The following is a 19,049-nucleotide window of genomic DNA, read 5'->3' on the forward strand; positions in this document are numbered from 1 at the left end:
TTCAGGCAGCCTGTCAGAACCTTCCCTTTTGTCATGCCAAGGATGACTTTAGACCTCCCTGGGACAGGGCCAAGGCTGTAGAGGCAATCCTTTCCATCCTGGGCTCTTACACCATCCTTGGGAGGCAGCCTCAGAGACCACTGGGGAGGGAGGCTGGGCTGCCAGGAAGCCCTAATCAGAGGCAGCCTTAGTGGCCCACCCACACCTGGGACACCTCATGCTGTGGGCCAGGCACCCCATCACATCTCTAGCACTGGCCCTGGTCACTGGTCTCATCCAGCATCTCATGATGGGTGGGCTTGGTCAGGTCCAGTAGCCACGGGCTAGTGTGCAGAGGGGTGGAGGTGAGACCAAGATGAAGGGAGATCATGGGCTAGCAACATTTTGCTTGGTGAACTGCATACCCCAGGCCAGAGTGGTTACTCAATGAATTTGAGTGTGTTCCAGAGACATGCTTCATAGAGATCACTTTTCCTTCGAGAAGATATTTTTCTCTCCCTGGGGTAACATCACATCTACCCACCCTTTCACTGCCTGTTGAGCAACTCCTGCCTCTTGTACCAGTCACCTTTTGGAGCTGACTTCAGCCGTGCCCAGGAAACCAGCCTGAGAGAAGGGCAGGGAGGTGTGAACTGGGAGGGCCACAAAGTCCTGGTGTGTGTCTCCCCAAGGGAAGAGCAATCAGTCCTAATGCATTTTTGGGTCTTAAGAAAATGAAGGCAGTGCCTCAAATATCCAGCATGGGATAGATTAAAATAAACCAAGATGAGAGTCAGGAGCTTAAAACTCTATTTCTGCCTACTTACCAGGGGCCTTGGGAAAGCTCTGTCCTTGACTCCCACCTCCAGCAGGGCTGCAGGATTAGACTAGATGGTCTGGATTAGCCTTTTCAGCCCTTCCAGCTGGATGAGCTGTATCTAGGTGATCTCTGAGTACTCCTCAGCTTCCAGAGGGAGCATCCATTGAATACCAATTGCGTGCCCGGGTCTCATATGCCAAATTGGAAGAATAGGGAAATAATATGAGGGAAGGTCACATCTTTGTACAGTTTTGTTTTGCAAACTGTATGCCCTTGAAGAAAACTTCTGAGTCTGAGACTGTGGTAAATTTGTTCTCCGTTCCTGGAATGTTCCAGAATCCAGCCTGACTCAAGGAACAGAGATACAGGAAGGAGAAATGTTGGAACTGATTTCAGATCTTGCTCTGGCTCTGCATACTTCTTGTGAAGGACGTGTGCCAAGGCCTGTCGGGAGGGACACATACGGAAAGAGAGTTAAGCTGAGAAACCATCACCCCGACAGAACAATGGCTTAGGAGGCTGGAGTACAGCATGTGTTCTCTGCAGCCGAACAGCCTGGGCCCGATGGCTTTTCCAGGAGGATGCGGGGCCATCCGTTTCTCCCTCCCTCCCGCCCCCCTGCCTCCCAAATCTGTCCTCACTGGGCGATCCCTATCTTTGTCCACCTTTGTCATCATGGACCCAGATGAGAGAGACTTGGGTATGCAGCCCAGTTCCCAATTAAGGGAGTCACTGGTTTCAGGAAGATAATTTATTTGAGCTGAATTGTTAAGGCAGATTGTTTTCACAGGATTCCAAGCAGAGAGCTTTTCTCACAGGAAATGTCAGGCCAGCAATTCTAGTCAGGTTTTCCACATCCTTAAGAGGAAAGAAAAGACAGAGAGAAAAAAATATTCCTTTTATATGTTGTAGGTCAACCGTTTGAGAACTGGCAACTGCAGGGTATAAACTTAAGATCTGTTAAAATTGCTACACATTGTGATAGTTAGTGCACGCGATGACTTCTCGATAACCCAACCCTTCATGAGACCTCATGTTCTTTATGGCTTAATTTGAAAAATGCATGTGAATATCCAGTGGCCAAGGGAGGTAGAGGAAGCCCCTCCGGAGGCTCAGAGTCCCACTGAGCTCCCAGGAGATGAAGACACTGAAGAACTCCCATCCTCTCCCTGGAGCTTGGTTTCCTTGTCTGTAACACCAAAGGTCATGCCAGGTGACGTCTAAGTGCCATCCAGCTCTAACCACAATTCTGTACTCCACCTATACCTAGAGGAGCTTGGCTGAGGAGCTACAGGAAACCAAAGAAAAAAGGAGAGCAGGAAAGTGAAAGGAAAAAAGCTTTTCTTCCATGGAGAACTTGGGTTTGTCTTTTTTTTTTTTTTTTTTTTAGCATTCTACATTAAAAAAATTTTTTTTAGTCTTTTTATATCAACTTGCCCTCAGGGATCTGACTCACAAAAACTTACTGCTTCTCCAGCAGTTCAGTCATTCATGAGAGCTGTTGAAGTGATGGGGGTTATACAGAGTCACTGATGGAAGCGAGGAAGGAGTACAGCACCGCTGTCCCTGGTGGGCACCTCCAGTGTTTGCTGTGTGCATACCTGGCCAAGAAGTGCTTGCAGGTGGGGAGGGGCTGGGTCTGAAAAGCGGAAGCCCGGGTTCCCGAAGTTTTGTGGTTCTTATAGCCCCTCAAAGACAACTCCGGCAAAAGGGAGGCTGAGACTAGGGGCAATGCGTCTGTTGCCAGGTGATGCCAGTCTTACCTAGCATGTGCGTGTCCATCCACTTCCTATATGTCTGTCCATGTCTGAACAACTCTCTCATTCATTATAATCTAACCCTCTTGTTCATTGCAAAATGATGTTCTGTTTCACGTGGGAGAGTGGTAGGAGTGCCGAATTTGTATTCAGGAAACCTGGACTCTGGTCCTGGGGTTTTCAGTTTCACTCGCCTTGTTGCTTGCCCTCTAGTATGTATATCACCAGCATATTGGGTATGTGTGGGATGCTGGACATCCTCATCTTGTTACTGACTCTAGCAGGGATGCTTCCAATGCCTCAGCGTTAGGTAGGATGTTCTTTAGGGTTCAAATAAAACCCTTTCCTTCCCTTGAGCATGCTAAGAATTATTTTTAAAGAAACATATATGGATATTTATTTTTATCAAGTGCTTTTTCTGCATCTATTTAGATTATTTTGTATTTTTTAAATCTCTTGATATGAATTACATTATTAGATTTTCTACTGTTAAAATAGTCTTGCATTTCTATTTGGTCATAATTTCTCTCAAACTCATGGCTGATACAGTTGTCTATTTTATTTTATATTTTTGTATTTTATGTTTACAGGTATTAGATTTTTAGAATCAAGGTTGTGGTAACCTCATTAATCATCATTATCTCAACTAACACGTAGCAATTTCTGTATGTAGGGTGCTATTCCTAGTACTTGATGTATTAACTCATTTAATTCTCACAACAGTCTTTTGAGGGAAGACTATTATTAGCCCCATTAGATGAAGAATAAAGAATAGATGAAGAATCTGAAGCCCAGAGAAGCTGGACACTTGCCTCTCCTGCACAGACTTTTAGTGTGTCAGTGAGATTCATAGCTGGGATGGGTGGTTCCAGAGTCCGAGTGTACTCTATTTGGGAATGTAAACTGGGGAGATTTTCTTATATTTGGTGGAACACATCAGTAAAACTCTTCGTGTATATGTTGGGGCTGGAAATGGGGGTGAATTTTAAATTAATGATTTAAGAAAATGATTATAGGTAGTTTCAGATTTTCTGTTCATTTTTTCGTCAGTTTTGTGATTTTTCTAGAAAATGGTCCCATCTGTCAGTTTTCAGATGTATTGGTTTGAACTTATTCATACTAGTTTCTTCTTACTGAAAAGCTCCTATTGATAATGTTTAGTTTTATCCTTCCTTTTCACTCTTAGTATTGTTTATTTATACTCTCTTCTCTTTATCAATCTTGCCAAAGGTTTGCCTTTTTACTAATCTTTTAAAAGAATCGGTTTTGAAGGTTGTTGAATCTATTATTTTTTATTTCATTAACTTTTTCATCTTGCATTTATTTTTCCTCCTTCCTACTCTCTTTTGGTCTATTCTGTTGTTCTCTTTTGCTGGGGGATGCTTACTTTGCTTTCCACTGTTCCACAATAATAGGTGCCTTTATGCTATACACTGCCCTCTCCATATTACTTTAACTGCTTCCCGTAAGACTTTATAAGTTGTGTTTTTAATGTTAACCATTTTGAAATATTTTCTGCCATTATTTCTTTAAAATTTTCTAATGCATGGGTTATTTTGGGGGAGTGTAGAGGAGCTATCTCTTTATCATTGAATTCTTTTTTTATTTCTTTGTAATCAGAAACACAGTTTGGAATTTTTTGAGACATAATATGTGGACTGCTGTATGGTCAATATTTATACATTTGTGCTTGACAAGAATATATTATTTAACAGTTGGATGTTTTGGATCAAACATGTTAATTTAGTGTTCAAATTTTAGTCTTTATTCTTATTAATGTTATTTTTCTGCTTGATCTGTTAGTTGCTGGGAGAGATGTGTTAAAATTTTCTATTATGCTCACGGATTGAAGAGTTTCTCCTCGTAGTTCTGTCAAATTTTTGATAATATGTTTTGAAGCTTTGTTGTTAGGAGCATAGAGTTTCATGATGGCTACATTTTTCTGTTGAATTTTTCCTTTTATTATTCTCTAATAAGTAAGTTTATCACTAATAACACTTTTTATCCCAAAATCTGTTTTTATCTGATAGCATTTAGCTACATCACCTTTTAAATGGCTAGTATACAAGTGGTATATTTTTGCCATGCTTTACTGTTAAGCTTTTGTATCATGTGTCTTAAAACAGCATATAGATAATTTTTTTTTTTTTTTTTTTTTTTTTTTGAGACGGAGTCTCGCTCTGTCGCCCAGGCTGGAGTGCAGTGGCGGGATCTCGGCTCACTGCAAGCTCCGCCTCCTGGGTTCACGCCATTCTCCTGCCTCAGCCTCCCAAGTAGCTGGGACTACAGGCGCCCGCCACTACGCCCGGCTAATTTTTTGTATTTTTAGTAGAGACGGGGTTTCACCGTTTTAGCCGGGATGGTCTTGATCTCCTGACCTCGTGATCCGCCCGCCTCGGCCTCCCAAAGTGCTGGGATTACAGGCGTGAGCCACCGCGCCCGGCCAATAATTTTTAAAAGTAAAATTCAATCTGTGTCTCTTTTAACTGGCAAGTTTAATTTTTTTTTTGCCTTTAGTATAATTGCTGATTTACTTGAATTTATTTGTCCTGTTATATTTCATACTTCCCTTTTGCCACATTTTTTCTTTATATAATTTCTCCTCTTTTCTTGCTTTCTTATTTTTTAAATTAACCATTTGAAAGTGAACAATTCAGTGGCATTTAGTACATTCACAGTGTTGTATAACCACCACCTCTGTCTAGTTCTAGAACATCTTCATTTCTTCAAAGGAAAATCCTTTATGCATTAAGCAGTTTTTCTCCATTCCTCCCCCAACCCCCAGTCTCTGGCAACTACCGATCTGTGATATTTCACATAAGCGGAATCATATAATATATAAACTTACGGTGTCAGGCTTCTTTCACTTAACATAATGTTTTTGAGGTTCATCCATATTGTAGCATGTATCCGTACCTCATTCCTTTTGATGGCAGAATAATATTCCGTTGTATGGATATATAACATTTTATTTATTTACTCATTTGTTGATTGACATTTGGGTTGTCTCCACCTTTTGGTTATTGTAAATAGTGCTGCCGTGAACATTTACGCACATGTATTTGTTTGAGTCCCTGTTTTCAGTTCTTTGGGGGTGCATACTGAAAAATGGAATTGCAGAATAATGCTATTTTTAACTTTTTGAGGAACTCCCAGACTGTTTTCCACAGTGGCACTTACTTGTGAATTAACTGAAATGTATTTTTTTTCTACTCTTTTCACATTTAGAAATTATACACTATGTTTTTATTGTTCTAGTGGTTACTTCTAAAATTTTAATCTTAATTGACTTTAATCAATCCCTCTACCCCCTCAAAAAAATGTGAGATTTTAAGAAGCTTTAACTCTGATGATTGTTTCCCATTCCCATGCTCCTGTTTATTATGTCTGGTGTTTTAGTTTCACTTTGTTTTTAACTACTCTTAAATTAGTTGCTATTATTATTTTAATTGTTTTTATTGTCGGTTCTCATTTAGGTTTATCTAAATGCTTGCCGATTTCTTTTCTTCCTGATATGAGTCCTTGATCGTTCATTCAGTGAAGGTCTGTGATACTAAACTGTTTTAATCCTTGACTGAAAATGTCTTCATTTTGTTCTTACTTTTAGTGATGTTTTAGTTGGGAATTTCAAAGTTGACAGTTTTTTTCTTTCAGCTTTGAAGATGTTATTTTATTGTCTTATGCCCTTGTCATTGCTATTGAGAAGTCTGCTGTAACTGTTTATAGGTAATCTGCCTTTTGTCTAAGATTTTTCTCATTGTCTTTTGTATTCCAGTAGTTTTAAAATGACATGTCTAGGTATGCATTTATTTTTACATGTCCATTTGAATCTCATGTTTCTATGAGAATGCATGTCTGGAAAGTTCTTAGCAATTACCTTTTCAGGTATTTCCCTTCCTAAATTCTCTTTATTCTTTCATTCTGGAGCTTCTTTTATATGTATGTTGGACTTTAGAAGTTTTTCCTCCATTTCTCTTATTTATTTGCTCCTTCGTGCAGTTTATCTCTCTCCTGATGGTGATATTCTGAGTAATGTCATCTGATAGCTCTTAGTAGTTAATGATGTCTTCACTAATCTACTGTTTATGTTTACCAAAATATTTTTCCAAATTTTAAGGAAGTTCAAACCTGTAAAAAGCTTGAAAGAAGAGTACAATGAATATCTGTAGACTTTTCACTTAAATTCAGCAATTGGTATGATTTTGTCACATTTGTTCTTTCTCTCTCTTTCTCTCATCTCCTCCTCCCCAATATATATTAATCGTATTTATATATACACGTATTTTTCTGATGATTCATTCTAAAGTAAAATACAGATATCCTGACATTTCACTTGTAAATATTTCAGCATGCGTCTCCTAAGGGCAAGAACATTTTCCTCCACAACCACAGTACCCACAAAATTTCTTTCTTTCTTTCTTTCTTTTTTTTTTTTCTTTTGAGACAGAGTCTTGCTCTGACACCCAGACTGGAGTGCAGTGGTGTGATCTTGGCTCACTGTCACCTCCGTTTCCCAGATTCAAGGGATCCTCCCACAGTCCTGTAGATGGGACTACAGGCTCACACCACCAAGCCTGGGTAATTTTTGTATTTTTAGTAGAGACAGGGTTTTGCCATGTTGCCCAGGCTGGCCTCAAACTCCTGGGCTCAAGTGATCCTCCTGCCTCAGCCTCCTAAAGTGTTGGGATTACAGGTGTGAACTACTGTACCTGGCCCAATAAATTTCATATTGATTCAATAACATTATCTGACATGTAGCCCATAATCAAATCTTTCTCAAGTGTTCCCCAGATATTCTTTTAGGCTTTATTTTTTTTCAATCCAGGATCCATTCGAGGTTTGCCCATTGTCTTGGTTGACGTGCCTGTCTATTTTATTTATTTATTTATTTATTTATTTTCAGACAAGGTTTCACTCTTGCTAGGCTGGAGTGCAGTGGCATGACCACAGCTCACTGCAGTCTTGACTTCCCAGGCTCCAGTGATCCTCCCACCTGAAGCCTCCCGAGCAGCTAGGACTACAGGCATGCACCACTACACTTGGCTAATTTTTGAATTTTTTTTTTTTTTGCAGGGATGGGGTATCACTATGTTGCCCAGACTGTTCTCCGACTTCTGGGCTCAAGCAGTCGGCCCACCTTGGCCTCCCAAAGGGCTGAGATTACAGGTGTGAGCCACTGTGCCCAGCCTCTAGTCTATTTTAATCTCAGTTTTAGTTTTTCATGAAGAGAATGGGCTTGTCCTAAGAACACCCATATTCTAGATTTGTTGGTTTGTTTCATTATTAGGTTTACATTAAGCATTTTTTTTTTGGCAGGGACAATACATAAGTGATGTTGTATATTTCCTGTTACATCACATCAGGACCACATTAATGTCAGTTTGTTTTATTTTGATGATGCTAAGTTGGATCACTCTGTTAACGTGGTGTATGTCACTCTGTCTATCATTGTAAAGATAACTTTCCCTTTTGCAATTAATAAGTAATCTGAAAGTTTTAGACCATATGAATATCCTGTTCCTCAAAAACCTTCCATCCAGTTGTATTGGCATCTACTGATGACCCTTTCCCATATAAATGATTACATTGGAGTGTGTAAAATGATGATTTTCTAATTTTATAATTCCTTCTACATTCATTGACGGTATTCTGTAGAAAAGAGCTTGTCCATCTTCTTTCTCTTTTCCTTGCACTCCCCCCACCTTCTTCCTTCTTTCCCTTCATTCCTTCCTCCTTCAGTAGCAGACTCATGAATTTTTTTCAATATTTAATGTATCATCTATCACCATTGTTATATGCCCATTATTTCAATGACTGCATTTACTCTTCAAAACTGCCCATTCTTTTTTCATAATGTCTAGCTCTTTTCTTATGATTTCCATTCCTGTTTTTAAAAAGTTTCTCTAATCTTTCTAATTTACAGCCTCTCTGAGATTTTTGCTCCATCTTGAGTCTTTGGGAGTCCTATTTGCTGTGTCTGTTGGCTTTCACTCATGGTACATGGTACATCATTTCTCATGTGTTTAAGAGTTTTTTGTTTTGAGCATATTTTAGTAGGACTTAAAAAAACAAATAAAAAAACAAAAAACTTCTCTCTTCTAGGGAATCTTGTTTGAACTGGTTTGTAGGAATGCTCTGCCAGATAATTTTACATTGCTTTGGTTAGGTGTGCTGGGGTATCACTGACTTGGGAAAAATTTATGTTAATTTCTTATATTCTAGATTCTTGTGCCATATAAATGGGGTCAATTTGAACTCCACTGACACTGGGTTCTGATATTTCATCAAATATATAGCAAATGTCTTAGTCTGTTTTCTGTAGCATATAACAGAAAACCTGAAACTGAGTAGTTTGTAAGGAAACAAAATTTGTGTCCTACAGTTCTGGAGGTTGGAAAGTCCGAGGATGGGAGGTCACATCTAATGAGGGCCTTCTTGCTAGTGGGGGCTCTCTGCAGAGTGCTGAGGTAGCTCAAGGCATCACATGATGGGGAGGCTGAGTGTGCTAATTCAGATCTGTCTTCCTCTTCTTAGAAAGCCACCAATCCCACTCCCATAACAACTTGTTAATTTATGATCCCATTAATCCATTCATGAGGGCAAAGCACTCATGACTCAATCATCTCCTGAATGCCCCACCTCTGAATACGGCCACACTGGGGATTAAATTTCAACATGAGTTTTAGAGGGGTCAGATATTCAAACCATAGCAGTAAGTGATCAGTATCTTTATTTTCATGAGATGCCTTTCTTTTAGAGCCCATAACTAATTTAGCCAAGAATCTAGTAACAAACACAGAGGAATAAGCATCTCCTCTTCTCAGTTTTTATTTTTTTGCTATTTATTTTTATTTTTATTTTTTAGAGGTAGTGGCTTGCGTGATCATAGCTCACTGCAGCCTTAAACTCCTGGGCTTCAGCGATCCTCCCATTTCAGCCTCCTGAGTAGCTGGGATTACAGGTGCGTGACACCACGCTCAACTAATTTATTTATTTTTTGTGGAGAGAGGGTCTTGATATGTTGCCCAGGCTGGCCTCAAGTGATCATCCCGCCTCCACCTCCCAGAATGCTGGGACTATAGGCATGAGCCACCACACCTTGCTTCTTCTCTGTTATTATGTGAGAGTGGCTCTTTCCACCAAGCCAAGGATTCAGTTATTCAGAGATTGAGTCCTGGTCCCATGGAGCCCAGAACACCAGCAGTAATCCAGCTCATGCCTCTCTCTGGGGGGCATGAGAGGACCTGTGGTGGGAGGTGGAGGCCTTAGCAGAGGGTCGAGCCGAGTTCTGCCACTTGGCCCCCATGAATTTATTAGTTGCATGCTTTGATACATGTCTCCGGGTTATCAGCACAATCACACTTTGAAAAAGTGTTTTGAGTCCCTTGATTTATCTTTTTGTCATTGTTGTTCAGAATAGTTTTCACTCAAAGGCAAGAACATGCTTTTAAACTGACCTTTTAAACTTTGTAAAGCTTATGCCACAAAGAGACACATGAAAGGAACAATAAGTACATTCTCTATGTGGAAGCATAATTGAAGTCTCCTCTGGTGATGAGATCTATGGGAACCCGGCACAAAGCATCTGAGCTGGGCTCTTGTGCTGATGGATGGCCCTCTGGGTGGAAGTCCCATGACCAGAGAGAGAGGCCAAGCTGTACCCTACCCAGTGGAAACATTCCCACCATCTCAGCGGGCTCATGGCCACCTGCCTACCCTCAGGAGCCAAGGGAACCACTTGGGAGATTTGGCCCTTGTCCTGCGGTCTGCAGGAAGCCATGGAAGTTTCTGAGCAGGGGAAGGATGTGGAAAATAGAGGCAAGACCAAAGTAGAGCATTTGAAGCCAGCAGCCTGGGTTTGAATCCTGACTCTGGCACTTCTAAGTTGTGTGACCTTGTGTAAGCCACCTAACTTCTGTGAGAATCATCTGGCATTGAGCACCCATTTATGGAGCACTGGCTACATGCTGGACACCTGGGATCCAGAGGAGACCAAGAGAATACTGCAGTCGTTTCTTCTTCCTTGCTTATAACTGTTACCATGTGTATTAGTTTACCATTGCTGCCATAACAAATTACCACAAAGTGGCTTCAAACAACATGAATTTATTATCTCATAGTTCTGGAGGGCTGAATTTCCACTGAGCTAAAGTCAAGGTGTTGAAAGGGCTGGTTGTTTCTTGAGGATCCAGGGGAGAATTTGTTTCCTTGCCCTTTTCACCTTCTAGTACCCACCTGGATTCCTTGGCTTGTAGCTCCTTCCTGTCTGCAAAGTAAATCACTCCAATCTCTGCTTCCATGTTCACATCGCCTTCTCTTCTCCCTTTACCTCTTTATGATAAGGATTCTTATAATTACATTGGTCCCATTTAGGTAATATAGGATAATTTCCTTGTCTAAAGATCCTTCACTTATTCTTATTTGCAGAATCTCTTTTGCCGTGTAAAGTAACATTCAGGGATTAGGATGTGGATATAATTGAGGGCCGTTATTCAGCCTATGACACCACGTGACATTGCATTTAGCGTCTGTTCATTTTACGTATCTGTGTAATGTGTTTCTTCTGGGCAGTGAGGTAGGCCTGCCAGATAGCCTCACATGTGTGCTGGGTGAGTGAGTGAATAAATGAATGAATGTGTTCTTTGGAGCTGAGAAGAAGCTGATGTTCCACTTGGGCTTTAGAGGATTAATGTGAGTTTGTTTGCCAGAGTATTCTAGATGGAATGAGCAGCTTATGAAAAGATATAGAGACATGAGCTGAGACGTTCAGCTTGGAGGAAATGCAGGCAGAGTGTGATGGCCCAGAGTGAGACGAGGCTGGGCAGTAGGTGGCCAGATCATGGAGAGCCTTGCAGGATACCTTCATGGGCCTGGATTTTATTTTTATAAGGAAGCAGTAAATGTAGTTATTGCCCTTGTCTTTGGAGTTATCGCCTGGGTTTAAATTCCTGTGCTGCCACGGGATAGGGTTACTTGCTGTGTAACCCTAGGAAAATTACTAAACATCTTTGAGGCTCAGTGAAATAAGTGCTTCATAAACCTGTTCTGAGAAGCAGATGACTTTTGAGGCTTGCAAAGCACTTAGCACAGTGTGTGGAACGGTCAAGGGAGCCTTTAGGAATGTATTGGCATTCTTGCTGTTATTTTAATACATGTGATTATTGTTATTATTGATGGTGATGATGGGGACTCTTTGAAGAATTTCAGCCAGGCTTCAGTGTCGTGGTCAGATTTGCTTTCTAGGAAGATGACTTTGGCAGCCATATAAAGATGTCAGGGGCCAAGGGTGGGTGACACTAAGGGTCGGGAAACCAGTTCGGAGCCTATTAAAATAATCTAGGTGAGAGGTGAAGAGGCAGAGAGCAGAGGTGGGGGTTCAAGAGAGATGTTATTGGATGCAGGATGTTGGAGAGATGTCTTTGCTGCTGCTGTTCCCTGCTTGAAATGGTTCAAGGAGGATTTTAGAGGCTTAGTACCAATGCCTTAGTCCTTGATTTTCAGAAAGGGACACTGAGGCACAGCAAGGGGAGGATGCCTTGCCTTCATCTCCAGATGAAACAGTGACAGACGGGATAGGCAGGGTAGAACCGAGGTCCTCAGCCCTTTGTTGCAGAGCAGGCGGAGGTGGGAGAAGTGTGGCTGGAAGAGGCTTCTGATGGAAGTGCAGTTCTTCATGGGTGGGGGTGCTCTGACACAAACTCAGTGTCGACTGCCCCTTCCACATCCCTCTAACCACCCCTCTATGCCTTAACTCCTCTTTCCAGCTCATTCTTCCACCAGTCCCCACAGGAATGCCTGTAGAATCCTGGTGGTGTTGGGCAGAGGGGTTTTGTGGTTTTGAATTAAGGCAAATGACTTGACTGAGTTGAGGAGGACACATGGAGGATGAGGACTGCCTGGGAGGGAGGGTGAGGGAGTTCTGTGTTCTAGCGCCAGTGAAAGAAACCTGGAGTCTGAAGAAGTGTGTACTCAGAGATTTGGTACTGTGCGTCCTCTAGCTCTTCCATTCACGCCCCTTCATACATCTTCAGGAGGAAACCAATTCAATGGAGTGCACCAGGGCAAGATTACGATTGTTACTTCAATCATATCTTACCCTGCAAGGATGTTGAAGGAAAATATATTTCAATGCCACACTCAAAAGAGCTGTCACTTTTTAACATAGTAAATGGGTTTTCAGAGAGTGATGTAATATTGTTATTTTTAATACATTCTGTTTAGAAATGATTTTACTTTAGTTCAGGTCAATGTATGCTGGAGAACAGAAAAATCTAAAGGGAGCTTTAGAAAATGCTCCCTCAAAGGGTCCACCCTTAAAAGGTGGACCCTTTTAAGAAAGCTCTGTGTGCACATACCTGAATTTACAAATCAGAATCACAGGGCAATGTTTTAAGTAACAGGAAGATACAGGAGGGTTCCTTTAAACACTTTGGTGCATGTCAGAGGTTTCTTATAGATAGCTGCTGATGGCTTTACAAGAAAGCTAGGAGAGAGGAAACAAACAAACAAAAAACATAGAGATGAGATGAACAAATTCTGGGCAATGATGACAAGAACTCGATTTGTGTGTGTGTGTGTGTGTGTGTGTGTGTGTTTCCCAGAAGTATTGCAGTGAAATTGGCGAGATAGCCTACATGCAGTGCTTGGCAAACGCCAACCTACAGAGCTGACCATCCTGTATTGGCTGGTGTATGAGTCTCTTTGTGAGAACACAGAATCGACAAGCATCATGGGGGCTATTTGGTCCCATCCCATGTGGAACCTGTGGCTGAGAGAGGGGGAGTATTCAAGGCACACAGAGGCAAGGCCAAGACTAGAGAGACTTGTCTCCTGAATGCCTATCCATCGCTCTTAACAGTCTTCTCTGCCGTTTACATTTCTCTGTCAGTCTCCTCTGGTACATTGATATTTTCTATTTTCCAGGAAAAATCAGTTGCTGCCGTCTGACAAGGTGGATGGTGAGCTGGGTGCCCTGCGGCTCGGTAGGTGCAGCGGGTGCCTCTGTGCTGTGCCCATCAGGGCCCAAGGGGTCCTCGTTGGCTCTGTCTGGGAGATGGGTGGTCGGGGGCCCCTTTCCTTCCACCTGACCTCAGCGAGTGGGGCTGGTCAAGTGAGTAGAGTAGACTACTCTCTCTCTGATTGATGTCTTCTACTGCTTGCCCTTCTCTCCTGGGGACATCCTAGTAAGAAGACCAGTCATTTCTGGATCTACACTGTGGGGCCAGAGAAGCTCTTTCTGCTTTTGGTATTTTTTTAGGGCCATTCAGTAATGGCCTCTTAGTAAGTTAACTAAGGTCTCCAGAAAACAGTTCTCATTCAAAGTATCAGTATAGCTCTGGCTGGGAAGGCCCGTCCTTTTTAAAAGTTTATCAGTGTATTATGGAGGCATAAGACACAAACAGTGAAGGCATTAAGTGTACAACCTTAAGTGCCCTGGTCTGCATCTTCACTTCTGTGTACATCTGTGTAACTGCTCTCTAAGATCAATATAGAGCACATTTCCTTCCACTCTTTAGTTTTGAAGCAAACTTTTTTTCTCTCTCTTTCTGTAATTCCCTACTCTCCAAAGACATGCATTTGCAGGGTTTTGCAGAAGCAGCTAGAGACTGCGGATGTTGAGACCAAGGACTGGCCGTGAGAGGATGAGGCTTGAGTGCTGCCAACATTTGCTCCTTTTCTGGAGCCAACAGTTTACCTGTTGCACCATTTGGGCAGACAAGAGCTGTTCACATGCTCTTCATCTCCCTTTTGAACTCTCCCTTTTAAACTGAAGGAAGAAAGCAGTGCCCCTATTTAGAACTCTCTTGTGTGAGAGGTGTAGTCTGACAGTTTGCTTTGATGAGATTGAAAGAAAGGTGCAGGCCTCTGAGCTGCGGAGGTGGAGGTGGGGGTTTGTTTACTCTGCCTAACTGATCCTAGAAGTAGCAGATCCTCAGAGCTCCCCAGATGGGGTAGATGTCTGTGCATGGCTGTGCAGAGTACAGCATGGAGTCAGGAGGTGCTGGCATCCAAACCCTTTTTGTGCACCACTGCACTTTAAGATTTTGCAGTGAAAGCTGCTTGTGTTTGGACACAAGAAAAGCGGTTCCTGGTCTTCAGAACCCAGAGAACTTCTACTGGAAGGAAGGCTGTTAGCAATTCTCAGAAGCAGCTGTTTGAAGTGTGTGTGTGCATGTTTTCTGGAGGGAGGCCGACCCCTCTTTGCTAATGGCTCAGCTAATGATTTAGGAAAGGAGAAGAAGGTGAAGGATAGGAGGCCATGGAACCCAGTCACGGAGAGAGTTCATGAAAGGAAAGGAAGGAGAAGTCTTGTGGGGGCCAGGGGGTTGGGGGTTGAGCAGTTCAGAAACAAAAATCAAATTTGGTTAGAGGAACAACACTCCTCCTCCACCCCAGTTCATTTTACTTTGGTTCGATTCAGTAAACTCTTGTCAGCAATTACCTGCCAGCGCATATGCAAGGCTCGGTAGAAGGCAGACCAAGGTGAATAAAAGGTGGCCTTGCCTTTTTGGAGGGTGGGGTGGGTAGGACAAAGGAAGAGAGGTATCTTCCCATAGCAACACATGAAGCAGATGCCCAGCAGTGCTTAAGTGCTTTAATAAGCCAGGTTCTGTGATGGGTTTCTGTATTAGTGTATTCTCATGCTGCTAATAAAGACATACCAGAAACTGAGTAATTTTTAAAGGAAAGAGGTTTAATTGACTCACAGTTCAGCATGGCTGGGGAGGCCTCAGGAAACTTACAATCGTGGCAGAAGGGGAAGCAAACATGTCCTTCTTCACATGGTGGCAGGAAGGAGAAGTCCCCAGCAAAAGGGGGAAAAGTCCCTTATAAAACCATCAAATCTCATGAGAACTCAGTATTACAAGAATAGCATGAGGGTAACCGCCCCCATGATTCAATTACCTCCCATCAGTTCCCTCCTATGACATGTGGGGATGATGGGAACTACCATTCAAGATGAGATTTGGGTGGGGACACAGCCAAACCATATCAGTTCTGGAAGCTTCCATAGTGTGTAGGTATTTAGTCTGGACTCTGAAGAATGGGCAAGGTCTTGTCAAATAGCGATGTGGAAGGAGCCACATGGGCAAATGCCTGGTGTATATATGAGAAAGATTGGTTGGAGGTAATGGCCCTGTTGGGGAGGATGTGGGGGTCAGTGTGAGATGAGGCTGAAATGAAGACTGGGCTGGGCAAGATGATTTTGAGTGCTGTGCTAAAGAGCTGGACAGCAAGTCACTGGGCAGAGATTCTGTGCTAGTGAGATACCTAGGGCTGCGCATTTGGGGGCTATATCTGGACTTAGGTGTAGAATAGACTTTAGGGATACAAGCTTAGATGTTGGGATACTGGTGAGGGGCTCTTGGCATAGTCCAGAGAAGAGGTAATGAGACCCCTCTTACCTGGGAAATCCAATGGGTATTTCAGGACCTGCCCGAATTTCACCTGTTATAGGAAGTTTCCCTGAGCATTTATAGCAGAATTAATTGCCTCCCTCTCTGCTCTGAAAACCCTTGCACTCGTTCCTTTTTCAGCACTTACTAGGTTATGTTGTAATTTTTCAGGGGGCTCTATCTCTCCCTTGGCAGGCAGCTGCTTGAATGAAGGGGTGGGGCCTTAGTCATCTCTTACCTCTGTCCCACATCATCCCTAGTCCATCATGGGTGCTAAAGAATGCACTTGCTGAGCAAATAGAAAGATAAGGACATATTCCTGTAACAGTGGAGAGAGAAAGGCAACAGGGGGGCAGGATATGAGACATTCTGGAGGCAGAGTGATCCAGAGGCTGGACCGGCATGGTGGGTGAGAGAGGGTGGAGGTTTCAGCCTGGGGCTCTGGTAGAAGGGTAGAGGAGAGATGGGGTCTTTTATTGAAACTGAAGCCAGGAAGGGTTCTGAGTTTCTGGTGTTGGGGCACTTCCAGAAGATATCTTGTGGTCAGTAGGAAATTCTGCACAGGCTCCCAGAAAAAAGCTGTGTGGCCCATTCTCCCTATGGAATCTTCCTATGAACATCATTCCCCTTGGTATCTTTGACTCCCTATGGAAATAAAATCCAATTACTTTATACATACGTACATGTATCCTACAAAAAGCACATAAAATAGTATGGGAAACAAAACCCCTTGCTTCTTTTCAATTCGACATTTAAACCAGGACCTTAGAAATAGCATTCTCAAACCACTGACATTTACAGATGGCTTTGTCTTCCTGGCCAACATGTCGTTCTGGAGTGTTTTGTTTTTCCCTTGCATGGCATTCCCACCACGTCTGGGCCCGAGGCCTGCTATATGGTCCTAAACCAACTCCCTGCACTTGGGCCAATTCCTCCCTGTAGAAGCCAAAGGAGTTTGCCTTTTCCAAGGGGCTTACTCTGGCCTATGCTCCATTGGCGTCTGCTTTTCCTGGGCCCCCAGCCTTCATTCCCAGATTTACTTCATGGGACCCAGGCAGAGCGTGTTTCAGGCCTGGATCCCTCCCTGACAACCTCAGACTAAATAGAAACCTCTAAATAGGCTTAAATACTGTCACTTTGTGCCTCCAGGAAACAATCTGGCTCAAGGCATTGCAAGAAGCCCTTCAGGGTCAGTCCTCCAGTAATCTGGAATCACTCAGGTTATCCTGCCCCTTTGTCTGGGGCCTCAGATGTCTAAGGTGGAATTAATCACACATCTCTTTTCCTCCAGAGAACATTCTCAATGTTGGTCTTTGCAAAGCCTGCCTATCAGTATTCTTCCCTTTCTTCCTTCCCACCCTTTTTTTTGAGATGGAGTCTTGCTCTGTTGCCCAGGCTGGAGTGCAGTGGTGTAATCTCAGCTTACTGCACCCTCCGCCCTCTGTTTCCTGGGTTCAAGTGATTCTCAGGCCTCAGCCTCCTGAGTAACTGGGATTACAGGCCCGTGCCACCACACCTGGCTAATTTTTGTATTTTTAGTAGAGATGGGGTTTCGCCATGTTGGCCAGGCTGCTCTTAAACTCGACCTCAGGTGATCCACCCACCTTGGCCTCCCAAAGTGTTGGGATTACAGGCATGAGCCACCGTGCCTGGCCCCCTTCCCTCCCTTTTACATTTCCCTCTCTCCTTCCCTTTCTCCCTCTTAACTTTCTTTCCTTATTTATCTTTAGCCCTACCCCTTATACTCTTATTACCTTCCTTTCCCATAAGCAACCATTCTCTTATGCTTAATCTATATCTTTTTCTTGTGTATGTTCTTGCAAAATCTATACTGTTTTGTATGCATCATTTTTACTTGACATAGATAGCATTGTGTTATATATCTCATTTGGTTTCTTACTTTCTCTACCCAGCACCATGTTTTTAAGTCCCATTCTTGTTGCTGGGTAGACATCTGATCTTTGTTTTAGGTTATTTATGTAAGGCCATGGTCATAGGGTAGCTTTTCAGAGACCCTAACTAAGAAATTGTATTAGTCCATTTTCACGCTGCTGATAAAAACATACCCGAGATTGGGCAATTTTCAAAGGAAACAAGTTTAATAGAGAACTCACAGTTCCACGTTGCTGGGGAAGCCTCACAATCATGGTGGAAGGCAAGGAGGAGCAAGTCACATCTTATGTGGATGGTGGCAGGCAAAGAGAGAGCCTGTGTAGGCAAGCTTCTGTTTTTAAAAGCCATCATATGTCATGAGACTTACTCACTATCACAAGACCAGCACAGGGAAGAGCCACCTCCATGATTCGGTTATCTCCCACAGTGTCCTTCCCACAACATGTGGGAATTATGGGAGCTACAAGATGAGATTTGGGTGGGGACACAGAGCCAAGCCATATCATTCTGCCCCTAGCCCCTCCCAAATCTCATGTCTTCACATTTCAAAACCAATCATGCCTTCCCAACAGTCCCCCAAAGTCTTAACTCATTTCAGCATTAACCTAAAAGTCCACAGTTTAAAGTCTCATTTGAGACAAGGCAAGTCCCTTCCACCTATTAGCCAGTAAAATCAAAAGCAAGTTAGTTACTTCCTAGATACAATGGGGGTACAGGCAGTGGGAAAATGCAGCTGTTCCAAATGGGAGAAATTGGCCAAAACAAAGGGGCCCAGGCCCTACGCAAGTCCAAAATCCAGCAGGGCAGTCAAATCTTAAAGCTCCAAAGTGATCTCCTTTGACTCCATGTCTCACATCTAGGTCATGCTGATGCAAGAGGTGGGTTCCCATGGTCTTGGGCAGCTCTGCCCCTGTGGCTTTGCAGGATACGGCCTCCCTCCCAGTTGCTTTCATGGGCTGGTGTTGAGTGTCTGTGGCTTTTCCAGGCACATGGTGCAAGCTGTTGGTGAATCTACCATTCTGGGGTCTGGAGGACAGTAGCCCTCTTCTCACAGCTCCACTAGGTGGTGCCCCCGTAGGGATTCTTTGTGGAGCCTCCATCCCCACATTTCCTTTCTGCACTGCCCTAGCAGAGGTTCTCCATGAGGGCCCCGCCCCTGTAGCAAACTTCTGCCTGGACATCCAGGTGTTTCCATACATCCTC

General features: G+C 43.1%; 1 protein-coding gene and 1 long non-coding RNA gene across 2 annotated transcripts in view; both read left to right on the forward strand.

The window, feature by feature from the left end:
- The window catches only part of INMT-MINDY4 (INMT-MINDY4 readthrough (NMD candidate)), a 140,253-nt gene that overhangs the window by 63,065 nt on the left and 58,139 nt on the right, over positions 1–19,049 (forward strand). The window contains exon 8 of the long non-coding RNA NR_037598.1: positions 13,480–13,538. This is a non-coding gene — a long non-coding RNA (INMT-MINDY4 readthrough (NMD candidate)). The remainder of the gene's footprint in view (positions 1–13,479; positions 13,539–19,049) is intronic.
- MINDY4 (MINDY lysine 48 deubiquitinase 4) overlaps positions 1–19,049 on the forward strand; it is a 120,971-nt gene that overhangs the window by 43,783 nt on the left and 58,139 nt on the right. Inside the window, exon 6 of the mRNA NM_032222.3 lies at positions 13,480–13,538. Within this exon, the coding sequence (NP_115598.2) occupies positions 13,480–13,538 (59 nt within the window). The remainder of the gene's footprint in view (positions 1–13,479; positions 13,539–19,049) is intronic.

The sequence above is a fragment of the Homo sapiens genome, chromosome 7 (assembly GCF_000001405.40).
Source record: "Homo sapiens chromosome 7, GRCh38.p14 Primary Assembly".
Taxonomy (NCBI): Eukaryota; Metazoa; Chordata; class Mammalia; order Primates; family Hominidae; genus Homo; species Homo sapiens.